Source organism: Homo sapiens, chromosome 2 (assembly GCF_000001405.40).
Source record: "Homo sapiens chromosome 2, GRCh38.p14 Primary Assembly".
Lineage (NCBI taxonomy): Eukaryota > Metazoa > Chordata > Mammalia > Primates > Hominidae > Homo > Homo sapiens.
In genome coordinates, this window is record NC_000002.12 from 220,728,239 (window position 1) to 220,744,075 (window position 15,837).

Sequence of the window (15,837 nt, forward strand, 5' to 3'; positions counted from 1 at the left end):
TATATGGGTAATATTATTCTTTAATAATGATAGTCTGTCAAAGTGTGAAGTCTTTCCTCTAGAATATTTTCAATTTTTAGAGAAGGAAATTTTAAAATATTTTTCTATAGCTGAAGACGTTCTCTGAAAAAAAAAAAAAAAAAATAGGGTGTAGTGGGAGGGAGAGCCCTCCATACACAGACTTTCAATTCATCCCCCTAGTTTCAGCCCAATGCCGCTCTCACATCTTTATTTTTCTGCTTTCTATTTTCCTCCTCAGCTTTGTGTCTCTTTTCTGTTTTCTGCAAGGTAAATTGGCTCATTCTTTGGATTTATCTGTCTCTGTGGTTTTCCATGTACTGCTTTAGCAATTTCTACTGTTCCATCAGCTCTGTAGAAATATGTTCTGATCACTCCTATCATACAGACCATCTCTTTGTAAAAAAAATTATTCATTATGTTTTTAAATGATTTTAGGACTCTTTATTATTGCTCTACAGAGGCCTCTGAGGCGGCAGGATATGAGGCTTATCTGTTTTTTAAAAATATACATTTAGAGGTTCCATTAACATACGAATAATCTTTCCTCATATTTTTTTCCATATGCACTCGTTTTTTCTTTTATTAGAAACATAAAACTAAGTCCACAGTAAATTTAGTTTTTGTAAGCAATTTTGTGGAGATGGAAAGTATCTTCCAGGAAAATTCAGTCCCTAAAGCAAGAAACCAGAGTCTTCTCCTGGCAGTCTATCTCTGCTGGCAAAATTAGAGAAAATACGAAATAAAAAAGGAAAAATACATAAGAATGACTCTAATATTGATTCTATATACATTGTCCTTTACATTGAATTTCGTATTATTTTATTATATAATAAATGAGAAGAATGACAGCACAATACAAAGGCAAATTAGGAAAAAATGAATAGAAAGGCAATTAGAGACTCCAGGGAAAACTGAAAGCTACACAAGAAGGAATAAAATCAAATGAAAATAAAGGAAACAAAAATGGAAGACTAGCTCTGTTATGAAATATTTATATTGTCAAAATAATGAAACATTTTTATTGATTTATTTATAAAATATATTTGTTTATTTTAAACTTTTAAAGATAATTTTATAAAAAGTATAAAAAATAGGACTACATTTATACGAAAAAAATACAATATAATTAACCTTGATAGTGCAAAAGAAAAAAATTCTGATACTAGAAGTTGAAAAGATATTGAGGGAGAGTAGTTAGAGAGCTAAAGATAATTAGGCTTTACTACAAACCTCATTTTGTAAAGTGAGGTGTAGTAAAAAAGAAAATAAAGATATTAATTGCCATAGTAAAATACCTAATATTTCAAATCTTATCAACAAAATAACTTAGAGATAGATCTACACTGGAATCTTTTAAGTAAACAGAAGATAGCAATATAAATATGTTAAAATCAATAAACAAGACCAACGGGTTGAAGCATATTATCTAGACAAGTGAAAATAAGTATCAGAAAAAAAAAGTTAACAGAGTTATAAGCGTTTACTCCTAGAGAATGGGATTTGATGGCAAGAAGTAGCATGGGAGGGAGGCGGCCGGGCGCAGTGGCTCACGCCTGTAACCCCAGCGCTTTGGGAGGCCAAGGCGGGCGGATCACGAGGTCAAGAGATCGAGACCATTCTGGCTAACATGGTGAAACCCCATCTCTACTAAAAATACAAAAAACATTAGCCAGGCGTGGAGGCGGCGCCTGTAGTCCCAGCTTCTTAGGAGGCTGAGGCAGGAGAATGGCGTGAACCCAGGAGGAGGAGCTTGCAGTGAGCCGAGATCGCACCACTGCCCTCCAGCCTGGGCCACAGAGTGAGACTCCATCTCAACAACAACAACAACAAGAAGTATGGGAGGGAGGCAGATAATAATATTTTTGAACCTGTGTACTTAATTACTTTAACTAAATATAAAAGTGATCTAAAACCTATGTTCATTTATTTACAAGAATAATTGTGTGGTTTCACTGTGATTTGAAGGTTTTTTGTTCCCATAATGACAGAGAAATATATAAATCTTTTAAGAGAATTTGAAAAATAGAGAAAATTTCAAAATATATGAATACTTAGCATATTATTAACGTCCTGTTATTTGTCTACCTTATTCTTAGCACAAATATGTATTTTATAAAACTTGTATTAAAAGCTCTTTTTAAAAAATCCTGTCTTGAATATTTTTATATTAATAGTTTATAAAAACAGGTTTTAATTAAACTTATTGTATTACTTTATATAATAATTTAACTAATCATTGATTGTTAGGCTTTTTTCTTTTAAAAATACCTTTCTTAACAAATATTTTTATGGTTAACCATGATTATTCCTCAGGACAAATTTCTACATGTTATTGTCATCTAGCCAGCCGCTCTTCATAAAGATTGTATGAATACATATTCTCAACTAAAGTGCACGCTATAACTATATCTATGTAACCTCATTCACACAAGTTAATGAGATTATTTTAATCTTTGCAAAATTTAATAGGGAACAGGCATCTTCTTACAGTTCTTTGAAAACTAGTAATAGGCTGATTTTGTGTGTGCATTGGCCATTTTTAATTTTTTGAAATTATCTTTTTTATATTGACTTGCACAATTTTTATATTGATTTATAAGTATTATTTTCATACTAGTTTGTAAGACTTCTTTACATATTAAGGGTATTAGCAGATCTTAAAAATGATTAATAAAATGTAAGCATGGTAATATAATGGACCACATTTATAAAACAGACTCTTAGGAAGGAGGAGATGTTTATGGGTCCTGTTAGAATTGGGAACTCATATTCTGATGCTGGACAGGGAACTGGGGAGTCTGAAAGAGGTTAACAGAAGGAGGTTTTTAGCTTTATTAAACATCCCTTTGCAGAGGATGACTTAATTTGAATTTCCTAGTTGGCTGGAAGCTATATGTTGATATTTAGTTGGTTCTAGGGAAATAAGTACAATATTTCCTGCATATGTTAATTTATGGACTGTGACCTAAACCCACTATGTTGATTATATAAGCATATGTTCCATAATTTCATGGAAAGATTTTGTGAAGACAGGCCTTGACAACTCTTGATAATTGCTACTTCTGAGAAGTGGCATGGAATCTAGGGACGTAAGATAGAATGGAACTCACTATTTATCGAAAACATGTTTGTAATGTTCAGTTTTGTTAAACCAAACTGAACATTTAATTTTTCATTAGCTGTATAATAGAAAATTAAAAATGGAGACCTCCATATACCACATATTTACAAATTATACAATATGCATGTTTATTCATCGTATTATATGAACAGTATATATGAATATCCATATTTTAATATTTGAAATAGCTATTTTTATAGCTTTAAAAAATTATGTTTAAGGTTTGCAATACATTTTCATACTATGAATCTGCATTTTGTACTAATTGTTGGTTTTTTAATGTTTGCCATAGGAAGGATATTTTATTAAATGAAGGGCATGTAATGTTCTTAATAACAGACAAACGGCCTGCTATTTAAATATATCTGGAGAGAGGGTATGAAGAAATACACTGATTTTAACTGCTCTTAATTTTCTCTCTCTCTGTATCTCTCTATCGTTCCTTTATCTCTATCTCTGTCTCTATCCATCTCTGCTTACCAAGCGTAATACTCTTGTTGAGATGAAGAAAAAATGCCCCCTTTTTGGCTTCCTGATCCCACCTTTCATCTGTCTTTAGAATTCAACAGGCATAGAAAAAGTTATATTTTCATGGATGCTACTGACACTTTTCAGCCAAAATGGGCTAATCCTTATTCTTCTCTTGAACAGAGGCGAACAACTGTCCATGCTTTCTGAAGCTGGAGCTAGAATATATATATAAATTTAAAGACACTTTTCATTCACATGAGCTGCTTCTCTGTTAGATCCTTTTGTGCCACGAGATGACTACCAGGCAACAACATCCAAATGCTTGTTTCAGGATAGCTTAACAAAAGGATTTCTCAAAGTCGCTTTACAAAAGATTTCATATACCACATATAACAAAAGCCATATTTATTTTATTTATTTATTAATTCAGAGATGGAGTCTTGCTCTGTCATCCAGGCTGGAGTGCAGTGCGTGATCTCGGCTCACTGTAACCTCCGTCTCCCGGGCTCAAGCGATTCTTCTGCCTCAGCCTCCCAAGTAGCTGGGATTACAGGTGGGTGCCACCACGCCCAGCTAATTTTTTGTAGTTTTAGTAGAGACAGGGTTTCACCATGTTGGCCAGGCTGGTCTTGAACTCCTGACCTGAAGTGAACTCCTGACCTGAAGTGATCTTCCTGCCTCGGCCTCCCAAAGGGCTGGGATTATAGGCATGGGCCACTGTGCCTGGCCAAAAACCATATTTAAAGAGAAAAAAAGATAACCCATATTTTAAATGAATTTGTAAAACCTTTCTTTAAAATGAAACTCACAATAATCAGATTTTTATGTGGGTTGATATTATTCTACTAAATGTACTTTTTACCACCTAAATTTGATGAAAAAGAGGAAGAGGTTATCCATCAAATACAACTTTACCCATGAACATAAATCTGAGAGAGAGAGAGGGAGAGAGAGAGAAACAGACTGACTCAAAGAAAGGTGGCCAAATATTCATTCTTTGGCCAAGGCATGAAATTATATTTTGGCCTCATTATAGATACAAAACCAAATCTCAAGGCAATGACAAGTATGATATTCTATGATACTTACTGGCTGGCCCTGTGTACACATAAATCAATAAAAAATTGATCATCTTTGTGCATTTGATCCAACTTTCTCCATCAATATAAATGCCTGGTAAAAGGCCATCATTTTCAATAGTAAATCAGCTGTGATTGATCAGATTTATCAGCTGGTATGGCAAGAGATTATTTGACTTAATCTTTTTTTTTAATCCAAGCATTATAGACAGAGGTTTTGATTTTTACCTTCTTGCTCAGCAAGAGAAACATGATCAGAAATGCATATTTAAAAACAGTCAGTACAGTGCTGAAGATGTTTGTTTCTTGATCTGAGTGAATGGTAACTTGGAGGTATTCACCTTCTGAAAATTCATCCAAATTTAGGCCTATGATGTGTGTAGTTTTATGAATGTGTGTTACATGGAGATTTTTGAAAAGCGATAAAGAGTCACTATTCTCTAAGATATGGTGATGTGTGTGATTTTTATCTAGAGGCAATGAAATTGACCACAAGTGACATTTGAATGCTTTTTAAAATCATTTTCTGACTCATGCCCAAAGCATAATTTTTCCAACCAAAGGAGTTGCATGAATACAATTGTTCTCTCATCTGTATAGTTTCATATTCCATAGCCCTTTAAAATGATTTTCTTTGGCTTTGTCAGATTAATATATGAGTTGGTCATTTTGAGCACTTTGATTATGATTGTATAATTTCCAGTTCAAGAGACAGAAGCATTATTGAAAATAATTGTTTTCTGGGTGAGCACAAAGGAGAGGTAAATGCAATGAAATCTCAACCACAAGTGTGCTAATATTATCCACAGATTTAAAACATCACCTTAGGTTGAAAGCGTGGCTCACAAATTTTGAAATGTTTGAAACAAATTTGTGATGAATAAAAAATTTCTGCAGAATCCAGTTGATTTTTCTATAAACTCACAAGAGATCTTGGTTTCCCAAAGTTCCTGGATCCCAAGATTTCCTCCCTCAATATGTATGTATTCTTATAGGAGTCTTTCATTGGTGTAGCAGAAGTTATCTACCTTAAAAAAATAGGTAAGTCTTGTGTTTTCAGGATGCCTTAAAGGAAACTGACAAGTAGTCTGATGTTTTGTTGAACATAAAGATGAACAAAAGCAACAGTAAACATGACAGTATTAAGCTTATCCATCATTACTATCACTGTTGTCACAATGGCCATTTTCATTGATTTATCTGCTAAGTCAAATGCCAGGTGTTTTACCTGTAACACCTAGAATAAAAACTAATCTATTACTATCCAAAACCCTATTAAATACTATATTTAGTATTTAACCATATATTTGATGGGGTTATTGAATTCTCTATTATATTCATTTTATAGGTTAAGAACAAAAAAATAGAGAGCCTGTGATATTAAGTTTCTAAAATTCAAGATAAAGTAACTTCTTGAGAGAGGGAGAAAGATGGGATTCAGGCAGGGCACGTAAGGAGCTTCACAGACCAAGTTTTTTACTTTCTTGAACTAGATAAGTGAATAGTACATTGAAGAATGAATGCTGTATCACTCTCATACCTTGTGATTACTTATAAATGTTATTTTGTATTTAATCAAAATTTTAACAAGCAAAACCTGAGACACAGAGCGGTGTGGAGGGACTGGTTACAGTGTCCACTGTGCAATACTGCCTCTCACATTCATTTTATAACCATTTTAAGATTTCACTGTATTTCTGCTTTTCAATGTAGCAACCAGTTATGTCTCTCTTGTATCTACTTTTTGATTACTCAATAAAATCAGTGTGCCTATAGTTGAAAATTGTGCAATTTAGTTACTTCAGTGTAGGAGGAGTAAGCTGTTACAAACATGGTGTTTTAACAATGGGCCCCAATCTCAAAGCACTACACTAATTTTAGTTTAGTGGAAGCTAGGAATCAGAAAAGGACACGTGTATTTCTTATTAAACTGAAGTACTGAAGTGAAGAAATCTAGGTGATCTAGACCAACCTAAAGAACGCAGCAGGACCAAGGAATACGGAAAAAAAAAAAAAAAAAAAAAAAAAAAAAAGAAGAAAGAAAGAAAAGAAAGAAAGAAAGAAAGAAAGAAAAGAAAGAAAAGAAACAAAGAAAGAAAGAAAGAAAGAAAGAAAGAAAGAAAGAAAGAAAGAAAGAAAGAAAGAAAGAGAAAATTTCCAGATTCTAAAAGGAAATAAGATAAGATTGGGATGGGGATAGGGAAGTTGAAGGGAAATATCTAAGATGAAATATTTTAACTGAACTTGTGAGTCAAGACATTTAAAACATCTAATAGACCAGAAGGAGACTGAAACAGGGAACCTTCAAATAATATTTTGATTAGCCTCTACTTCCATTCACCTTGGAAAAAAATTAGTTGTTGAATAAATAAGACATGGCAATCTCTTCTAGCTAATTGAAATGTCCAATATTGGTTTGAATGTGTATGGATAACACTGCAAATAATTCAAAAGCATATTAATTAATGAGAGTAAAATTAGATTCCTAGTGGGTGACCTATCTGGTGCATCACTCAAAAGAATTATATTTATCAAAATGTTACCTAAGTTTACTTAGTGTTAACCATGCAAGAAAATGAGGACATATTCATTTTTAACTTCAGCAAGTGTTCCATTTGGGAATAGTTGAATTAAAAGCAAACCCTTACCCTCTATGCTGGCAATAAGCAGAGAGAGAGCCTAGAGATAAATAAAATGATCTAGTCAGATTTAGCATGATACTAAAAAACAGAAAATGCTTTTGATGAAGCAAGTTCTGAGGCTATATTAAAAAAAAGTATCCTATAATTACAGCTGTGATAAATATCCTCACTACAACATGAATTTGGGTCCAATAAACTCGTTCCAAATCCCCTGATTACCTCTTTCTTACCTCTAGTCTCAGTTCAAGATATTTCAGAAATTAACAGACATTTTTCAACTGGTTGCATTGGAGAAATTGTTTTTATTGACTGGACTGGTTTCCAGTAAGTCAGAAGAGTGAGGAAGAATCTGTCAAGGTAGGCTAAACCAATTCAACTGATTCTTACCCAACCTAACAGTAAATAAACCAACAATAATGATGTGCTTTTCACGTAGCATATATAAATGCTGTCTGTGAAAGTTGAAATTGAATCTCTCGTAAGTTTTAGTCAATTAGATTTATGAGAACAGTAATACAGATTGAACATCCCTAATGTGAAAACCTGAAACTTGAAGTGCTCCAAAATCCGAAACTTTTGGGGTGCCACCATAATGCCAGAAATAGATTTCACACGTAAGTACTTAACACAAACTTTTGTTTCATGCCTAAAATTATTTTAAAATATTGTATAAAATAATCTTTAGGCTACATGTATAAGATGTACATAAAATATAAGTGAATTTAGTGTTTACACTTGAGTCCCATCTCCAAGCTATCTCATGATGTATTTGCAAATATTCCAAAATCCGAAAAAAATCAAAATCCAAAACACTTCTGGTTCTAAGTGTTTAGAATAAGGAATACTCAATTTATAGTATATCAACTGTAGTCTATGGACCTGAGATCAAAACTTCCTAATTAAGCTATATCAATACCGATTGAAAATATCCATCTTGTTCATTCATATAAAAAGGAATGAATATATTTTGATAAATTAGTGAACAGGGTAAATATTTAAGTGTAATAAATATCCAAGGGTGACAACACTAAAATCAGACTTAGGAGGTATTAATTTCAGGATTGTTTTGGCTGCCTTAACAAAAACTAAATGAAAGTGGCTTGAGCAAGGTAGAAGATTTATTTCTCTCTCATGTAAACTGTGAGTTGATGGGTGGTCTAGGCATGTGGAGCATCTTTGCTTTGTAAGGCCATCCACTGCCTCAGGTTCCTCCAATTTTACTTGTCTATTCTCATGAGAATGGCCAAAGCTGGCTCGCTCCTACCATACTTCATGACCAGCACACATCTACATTCCAGCAGATGAAGGAGGCAGAGAGTAAGCATCTTGCTTTCAAGAACGTGACCCAAAAGGGTCACACATCAGTTTTACTCATTCACCGTCCAGAACTAAGTCACATGACAGCATATGCTGCAAGGAAGGCTGGGAAATGTAGTCTCTGGAAGAGCAGCCACATACCTCTGTGAAGACTAGGTTGGCTCTTTTCACAAAAGAAAAAGGGGGAAAATGGTTATTAGGGGAAATTATAAGTCTCATCAAATAAGACAGCCGAATATTGGAAAGGACCTTAGTTTTCTCATTTAGGAATTAATTCTATTATCCAATGATATCATTTTTCTATGACCAAACATTAGCCTTCAGCTTATTTGGAAGTTATTCCTGCTACCCAACATACTTTCGACAATGCGATTATTATCTTGTGGATTTGGAGAAACTTCACCTGCCCCCAAATATTTCTCCACAACTTGGCTTTCATGGCTCCTGAAATTTCCATTTATTCTTTAAAGAAAAGTATAGATTTTAGGTTAGAGCGACCCAGCTAGTAGGTTTCAAATCTGGGTCGATCTAACCTAAAATCTATGTTTTCTTCTTTATGAAATGGAGTGGTACTAACTTCTTGTATGAGATTTGGAGATAATATATGTAAAGCCCCTTTTAGTATAGGAATTATAATATCTTCAGATAATCCTTATTTAAATGTGGAACTATATATTATTAAATGAAGGTAACATCTATAAAATAGACTTAGTGCTTATTTCATCAAAAGCACATTTTAGACATTGAGTTTTATGGGAACAGCAATTTCTCTTAGCTCTCTGTCTTTACTATCACCTCCAAAGGGTTTAAATTTATTTCAAGACTCTTTTGAGAATGCAGGCTCCTTCCAAATTTTCAAGCTCCCTTTTAACACCCTATGTGTTTACCTTATTTTTTCTAGTAAGTCACCATGACAGCAGCATGTTTTTTCCTGTCTCTGTAATTATTTTTTATATTTTAGAGAAGTTTCAGTTTGCAGATAAAATTAACTGAAACTACAGAGCTCCTACTTATTCTCTCACTGCTCCCTCAATAGTTTCCCCTATAATTAATATCTTGCATTAGTGTATTACATGTGTTACAATTGATGTCAATATTGATACATTTTTATTAACTAAAGTCTATATTTCACATTAGGGTTCACTCTTTACATTATACATTCCACGGGTTTTGGCAAATGTATAGTGGCATGTATCTACCACTACAGGATCATACAGAATAGTTTCACTATCCCCCAAATCCCCTGCACTCCACTTATGCATCCCTCCTTCCCTCCCCTGGAGTCCCTTTCAAACGCTGATCTTTTTATTGTCTCCATAGTTTTGCCTTTTCCAGAATGTCATAAAGCTTGAATACATACTACGTAGCCTTTTTAGAATGGTGTCTTTCACTTGGCAATATACATTTAAAGTTTCTCCATGTCTTTTTGTAGCTTGATTGCTCATTTCTTATCATTGCTGAAGAGTATCTTATTGTACATATGTAGCACAATTAGTTTATGCACTTACCTGTTGAAGGCCATCTTGGTTCTTTCAAGTTTGGGCAATTATGAATAAAGCTGCTATAAACATCTATGTGCAGGTTTTTGTGTGAACAGAAGTTTTCAACTTATTTGGTTAGATACCAAGGAGTGTAATTGCTGGATAATATGATTAAGTGTTCATTTAATTTGGTAAGAAACTGCCAAACGGAATTACAAAGTGGTGGTACTATTTAACATTCCTATCACCATTGATGAGAATTCTTTTTTGTTCCAGAAGAACATTTCTTGTTAATGTTTTGGATTTTAGCCATTCTAATAGATGCATAGTGGTATCTCACTGTTGTTTTAATTTGCAATCCACTAATGACATATGATGCTGAACATCTTTTCATGTGCTTATCTGCATCCATACATCTTCTTTGGTGAAATTTCTGTTTAAATCTTTTGCCCATTTTTTTTTTAAAGTAGGTTGGTTGTTTTCTTATTGTAGAGTTTTAAGAGTTCTTTGTATATGTTGAATACTAGTCCTTTATAAAATGTGCTCTGCAAAAATTTTCTCCAAATCTGTGGCTTGTCTTTTAATTGTCGTAATGTCTTTTGTAGAGCAGAAGTTTTTAATTTTAACGAAGTGCAACTTATTGATTTTTTTCTTTCATGGATTGTACTTTTGGTGTTGCATCTAAAAAGTCATCACCAAACCCAAAGTCACCTAGATTTCCTCCCGTGCTATCTTCTAGGGATTGTGTGGCTTTGCATTTATTAGCATGCTATTTTTTACCAGCCTTTATATATACACACACATAATTGATGGCATGTTTTATTGGTGGAAATTTATAGCAGAAATATCTCTGACTAACCTGTAGAAACTACAATTTATTTATGGCATGAATTAATCCAAATTTGTTTTTCTTTTTCAAAATTATTTTTACTAGTCTAGTCGTTTGCATTTTAATATAAATTAGAATCAGTTTGCCAAGTATGACCCAAAAAGCCTGCGGAATTTTGATTAAAACTGCACTGAACCTGTACATCAATTAGTGAGAACTGACACCTGTGATTCGTGAGCTACCAGGGTAATCCCTCTGTTTGATTAAGTGTTCTTTGATTTCACTCAGCAAATCTTTGTAGTTTTTACTGTACAGAATTTTGCATTTTTATGCTGTTGTAAGTGGTATTTTTAAAACTTACTTCTGATTATGCAGTGCTAACATACAGTATACAGTAATACAACTGATTTTTGTCTGTTGACCTTGTATCCTACCACCTTACTAAGCTCTCTTATTAGTTCAATAGCCTTTTCATAGTCTTTGGAATTATAGACAATTATGTCATCTGCATTTAGAGACGATTTTATTTTTTCCTTTCCAATCTGTGGCCTTTTATTTCTTTTCCTTGTCTTATTGCTACTTCCTATGACCTCCTGTTCAATGTTGAAAATGATTGGTGAGAATCATCATTCTTGCCTTATTCCCAATCTTAGTAGGAAAGCATTCAGTCTTGACCTCTTGGGCTCAAGCTATCCTCCCACCTCAGCCTCTAGAGTATCTGAGACTATAGGGACATGCCACCATATCCCCCTAGTTTTTAAATTTTTTGTAGAGTAGGTTTTTGCTCTGTTCTCTAGGCTGGTCTTGAGCACCTAGGCTCAAGCAATCTTCCCACCTCAGTCTCCCAAAGTGCTGAGATTACAGGCATGAGCTACCACAGCTAGCCTGAAATGTAGTTTAATATGGTAAATTGCATATACTTATTCTCAAATGTTAAACCAGCCTTGAATTCAAGGGATAAACCCCACTAATCATGTTGAATTTAATTTGCCAAATTTTTGTGAATAATTTTTGCATCTTTTTTTAGGATATTTAGTCCATACTGTACTATTCTTATAATGTCATTGTCTGGTTTTTCTATCAGGTTACTGCTGGCAGAACAGAGAAAGAGAGAGAGCAGGAGAGAGAGAGACAGACAGAATCCACTAGTAGAATAAGCCATGATCACCACTCAAAACTTGTAAGTTTACTTCTTTGCTAATAGATATTGGAATCATTAAGTTTGCTCTTAAAAAAGTATTTTTGTTTTGTTTTGTTTTTTCAGTTGCTACTACTTGATCAGTACCTGGAATTCTGAGGAAAACCCTATTAGAGATTGCAAATCCAGTAAATAAAGGCAGCAGTGGTACCTTGTTAAAAACATCAAATCCAAAGTGCTCTGAGGAGGAATATGTACGGTGTGTTCTAGGGACAGAAAATAAGACAAACGTGGCTGGAGTATTGGAAGGGGAAGTGAGTGTTACTAGAGAAGGTCATGAGGTGAGGCGGGCCAGATCATATGGGTCTGTGTAAGCTATGGCAAGGAGTGTGGATTTTATTCCAAGTAAGATGGAAAGCCTTTATGAAGTTTTAAAAACGGCAGTGTTATGATTTGTAACATCTGAGTTTATGTTTACATCGTGGCCAAATTATTTTATAAAATAATGTAATAATGGTTCAACAGTTTGATTGTGTTGCCCTTAAAATTTCACAAGACTTAAAATTTTCTACACTATTCATTTCAGTATTGACTGTAATTTAATAACTCAATTAGTAATGTTAAATAAATTATTTGTTACTACCTATTGAAATTATATATATATATACACACACACATATCTGTTTAATATAATATACATGTGTCTGATATATATATATATATTTATGAATTATATATGAAAACACTGGCTTTCTTGATTTCGTCGTCGGATGTTTTCCTTGAACATTTACCAAGCCATTGGTATTCTAATGCTATAGAAACTGGTGTTAATAACTCTATTATAAAATGTCTATTGATAACCTTTAAATATTCTTATAGAAATAGTCTTTTCAGGGGGCTGGGCATGGTGGTTCATGCCTGTAATCTCAGCACTTTGAGAGGCCAAGGCAGGTGGATAACCTGAGGTCAGGAGTTCCAGACCTGCCTGGTTAATGTGGCGAAACCCCATCTTTACTAAAAATACAAAATGTAGCCGGGCATGTTGGCGAGCACCTCTAATCCCAGCTACTTGGGAGCCTGAGGCAGAAGAATCACTTGAACACTGGAGGCAGAGGTTGCAGTGAGCCGAGATCGTGCCATTACACTTCAACCTGGGTGACAGAGGGAGACTCCATCTCAAAAAAAAAAAAAAAAAAAAAATAGTCCTCCCAGTTTTGCCTAAAATATCAAAACAGCCAATCAATATTTAATTGGTGTTTCCAACTTAGATATATAATTTGGAAAAACATTTTAGTAGGCCTGTGCTTATTCATATGAAATAAGTAACTGCATATATGTTACAAATAATAAGGCCTCAGGATATCTGGCTCCCCAAAACACCCTTAATTTGAAGGAGTCAGGGAAGTAGCATCCACATTAAATGTATTTATGAGAACAGTCTAAGTTACTTCAGTTGTTAAGATAGTTGTCTGGTAGCAGAATATAAAAACCTATGAGAACAGGAAAATTATATTTTAAAGAGAAAGGTTTTCGAAATCTAAAATTCCAGGTGTGTAGGTATCATGAAAGGAAGGGCAGGTAGGGCACCCTTTGCCCATCTCATAGGTCTGCCAAATTTGACCTTAGTTTTTACAATATTTTAAATCACCTAATTTTTAGTTACAAGTTACCTTCATAGATTCAATTGCCTTGATGAGGTTCAATTTCTTCTTAAAAAGGGTATTACCATTACACCACATTTTAATATACATTTTATGGCTATCCATCAGCAATACATGACTTGTTCAAAATTAAAACTATATTTTTATGTGAGTTACATTTGGTGACACTTCAAACTAATTTTGAAGATTCACTGAGTATAATCAAGATCATAACAAATTTCCCCACATGTTTTGTAAATAAAAAATGTATTTATAGATATTAGTAAGACTATTTGGTGTTCCGTTTTTTAAGCCCGTTAGAAAAGCGCAGTATTACCGTGGGAGTGACCTGATTTTCCAGGTGCCATCTGTCACCCCTTTCTTTGACTAGGAAAGGGAATTCCCTGACCCCTCGCGCTTCCCAGGTGAGGCAATACCTTGCCCTGCTTTGGCTCGTGCACGGTGCGCTGCACCCACTGTCCTGCACCTACTGTCTGGCACACACACACAAAAAGACTATTTGGGAACACGAAGCTATAAGATTAAACAAAATGTTATAATCTTTTCTTGTTGGGGATCATCTGTTCTTTAATTTCAAACTAGAGTCTAAGATGATGTAGAAAATATGTTAGCTATTTCTTAAAGTGAACTTATTAAAAATGAGGAATTGTAGTATAATTCCAAGATTGAAGGGTGATGAAGTATCTGTTGTTTGTGATCTTTTCCCCTCACTCAAAATCATATGATTAAGAATGGGTGTGAAATTACAAGCAATTAATATTTATATTATTTTTGAGACTGTTACAGAGTTAGATTTGTGATTAACAAGACAAAATTCTATCAAAGACTGTGGTTTTGCCTTTAATTTCACATAATGTTAAGTATTCTTACTTAAAAGGAGTATGTTGACACTTTCTATGCAATATGGTACAAAAGAAAATTTATTTATTAATTTTCTCTCTTCTTGGAGTATCAAAATATATTAGCCGTTGGTAATGAACAAACATGCTAAATTTTATGAAGTGAGTTCCCTTCTCTTTTTCCTTTTTTTAAACACTAGAACATCACAAGGTCAAATGGCAGATGGTTTGAGAGCCCCATCACAGACATTTTACATAGCAACTTTAAATGAAAATTGTATTATTTTTTCTATTGTTTCATAAAGAAATTACTTCAAAGCTTAAGGTTAAAATAAGAAATATTTATTATAACACACAGTTTCTAAGGGTCAGGGAAATGAGAGCTGCTGGTGCTTCTGGCTGGATGGTTCTCTTAGAGTTGCAGTGAAGATGTCAGCCAGGGCTACAGTCATTTCAAGGGTTGACTGGGGCTGGTTAACTCACGTGACAGTTGTCTAGAGGTCTCAACTCCTTGCCACATGGGCCTTTCTGGAAGGCTACCTAAGTGTCTTCAAGACACTGCCTCTGGCTTCCCCCCATAACTCTCAGAAAAAGCAAGGCAGAAACCACAGTGTCTTTCATAACCCTGACTCAGAGGCATCAAACCATCACTTCTGCCATGTTCTGTTTGTTACCTAAACCCACCACTGATACAACATGGGAAGGAACTACACAATGGCATAAACACCAGGAGGCAGAGATCACTGGGTATCGTCTTGGAGACTGGACACCACAAAATAAGAGTAAATTGAGTGTGAGGAGGTTAGTTTGATTTCTTTTCCTCCTTCCTCTCCTCTGCCTCTTCCCTCTCCTTCTCTTCTTCCTCCTCTAATTTCTAAGAGACACATTGTAATCACCATTAGTCCTGCATTAGCTACAAATCTAAGGACACTCATGCTCATGTATATACATGAGCCAATAAACAAATAGACCTATTTACTTGCAATTTAGCATATGAAATTTTTCCACATGCAAAACAATTTAAAATGTTGATTCAGAGCCAAAAAAGAATCCATATTCAAGCAACTATTGCTCACTATTTTACCGGAAAAATGCCATGTTGGCAATCTTTATTAAGTTAATAGTGACAATTTTCATAGTTTTATTCATTTTTATTTTCTTGGTTCACCTAATAGTTTCTGAACATTGTAAACTATCTTGAAATGTATTTTAAGAAAATAAAGATTTCTCATCATTTG

At 34.1% G+C, this 15,837-nt stretch overlaps 1 long non-coding RNA gene across 1 annotated transcript in view; it reads left to right on the plus strand.

Moving 5' to 3' along the window:
• The first annotated feature begins 12,046 nt into the window (after nt 1-12,046).
• LOC105373896 (uncharacterized) overlaps nt 12,047-15,837 on the plus strand; it is an 86,007-nt gene continuing 82,216 nt past the window's right edge. Inside the window, exon 1 of the long non-coding RNA XR_001739890.2 lies at nt 12,047-12,141. This is a non-coding gene — a long non-coding RNA (uncharacterized LOC105373896). The remainder of the gene's footprint in view (nt 12,142-15,837) is intronic.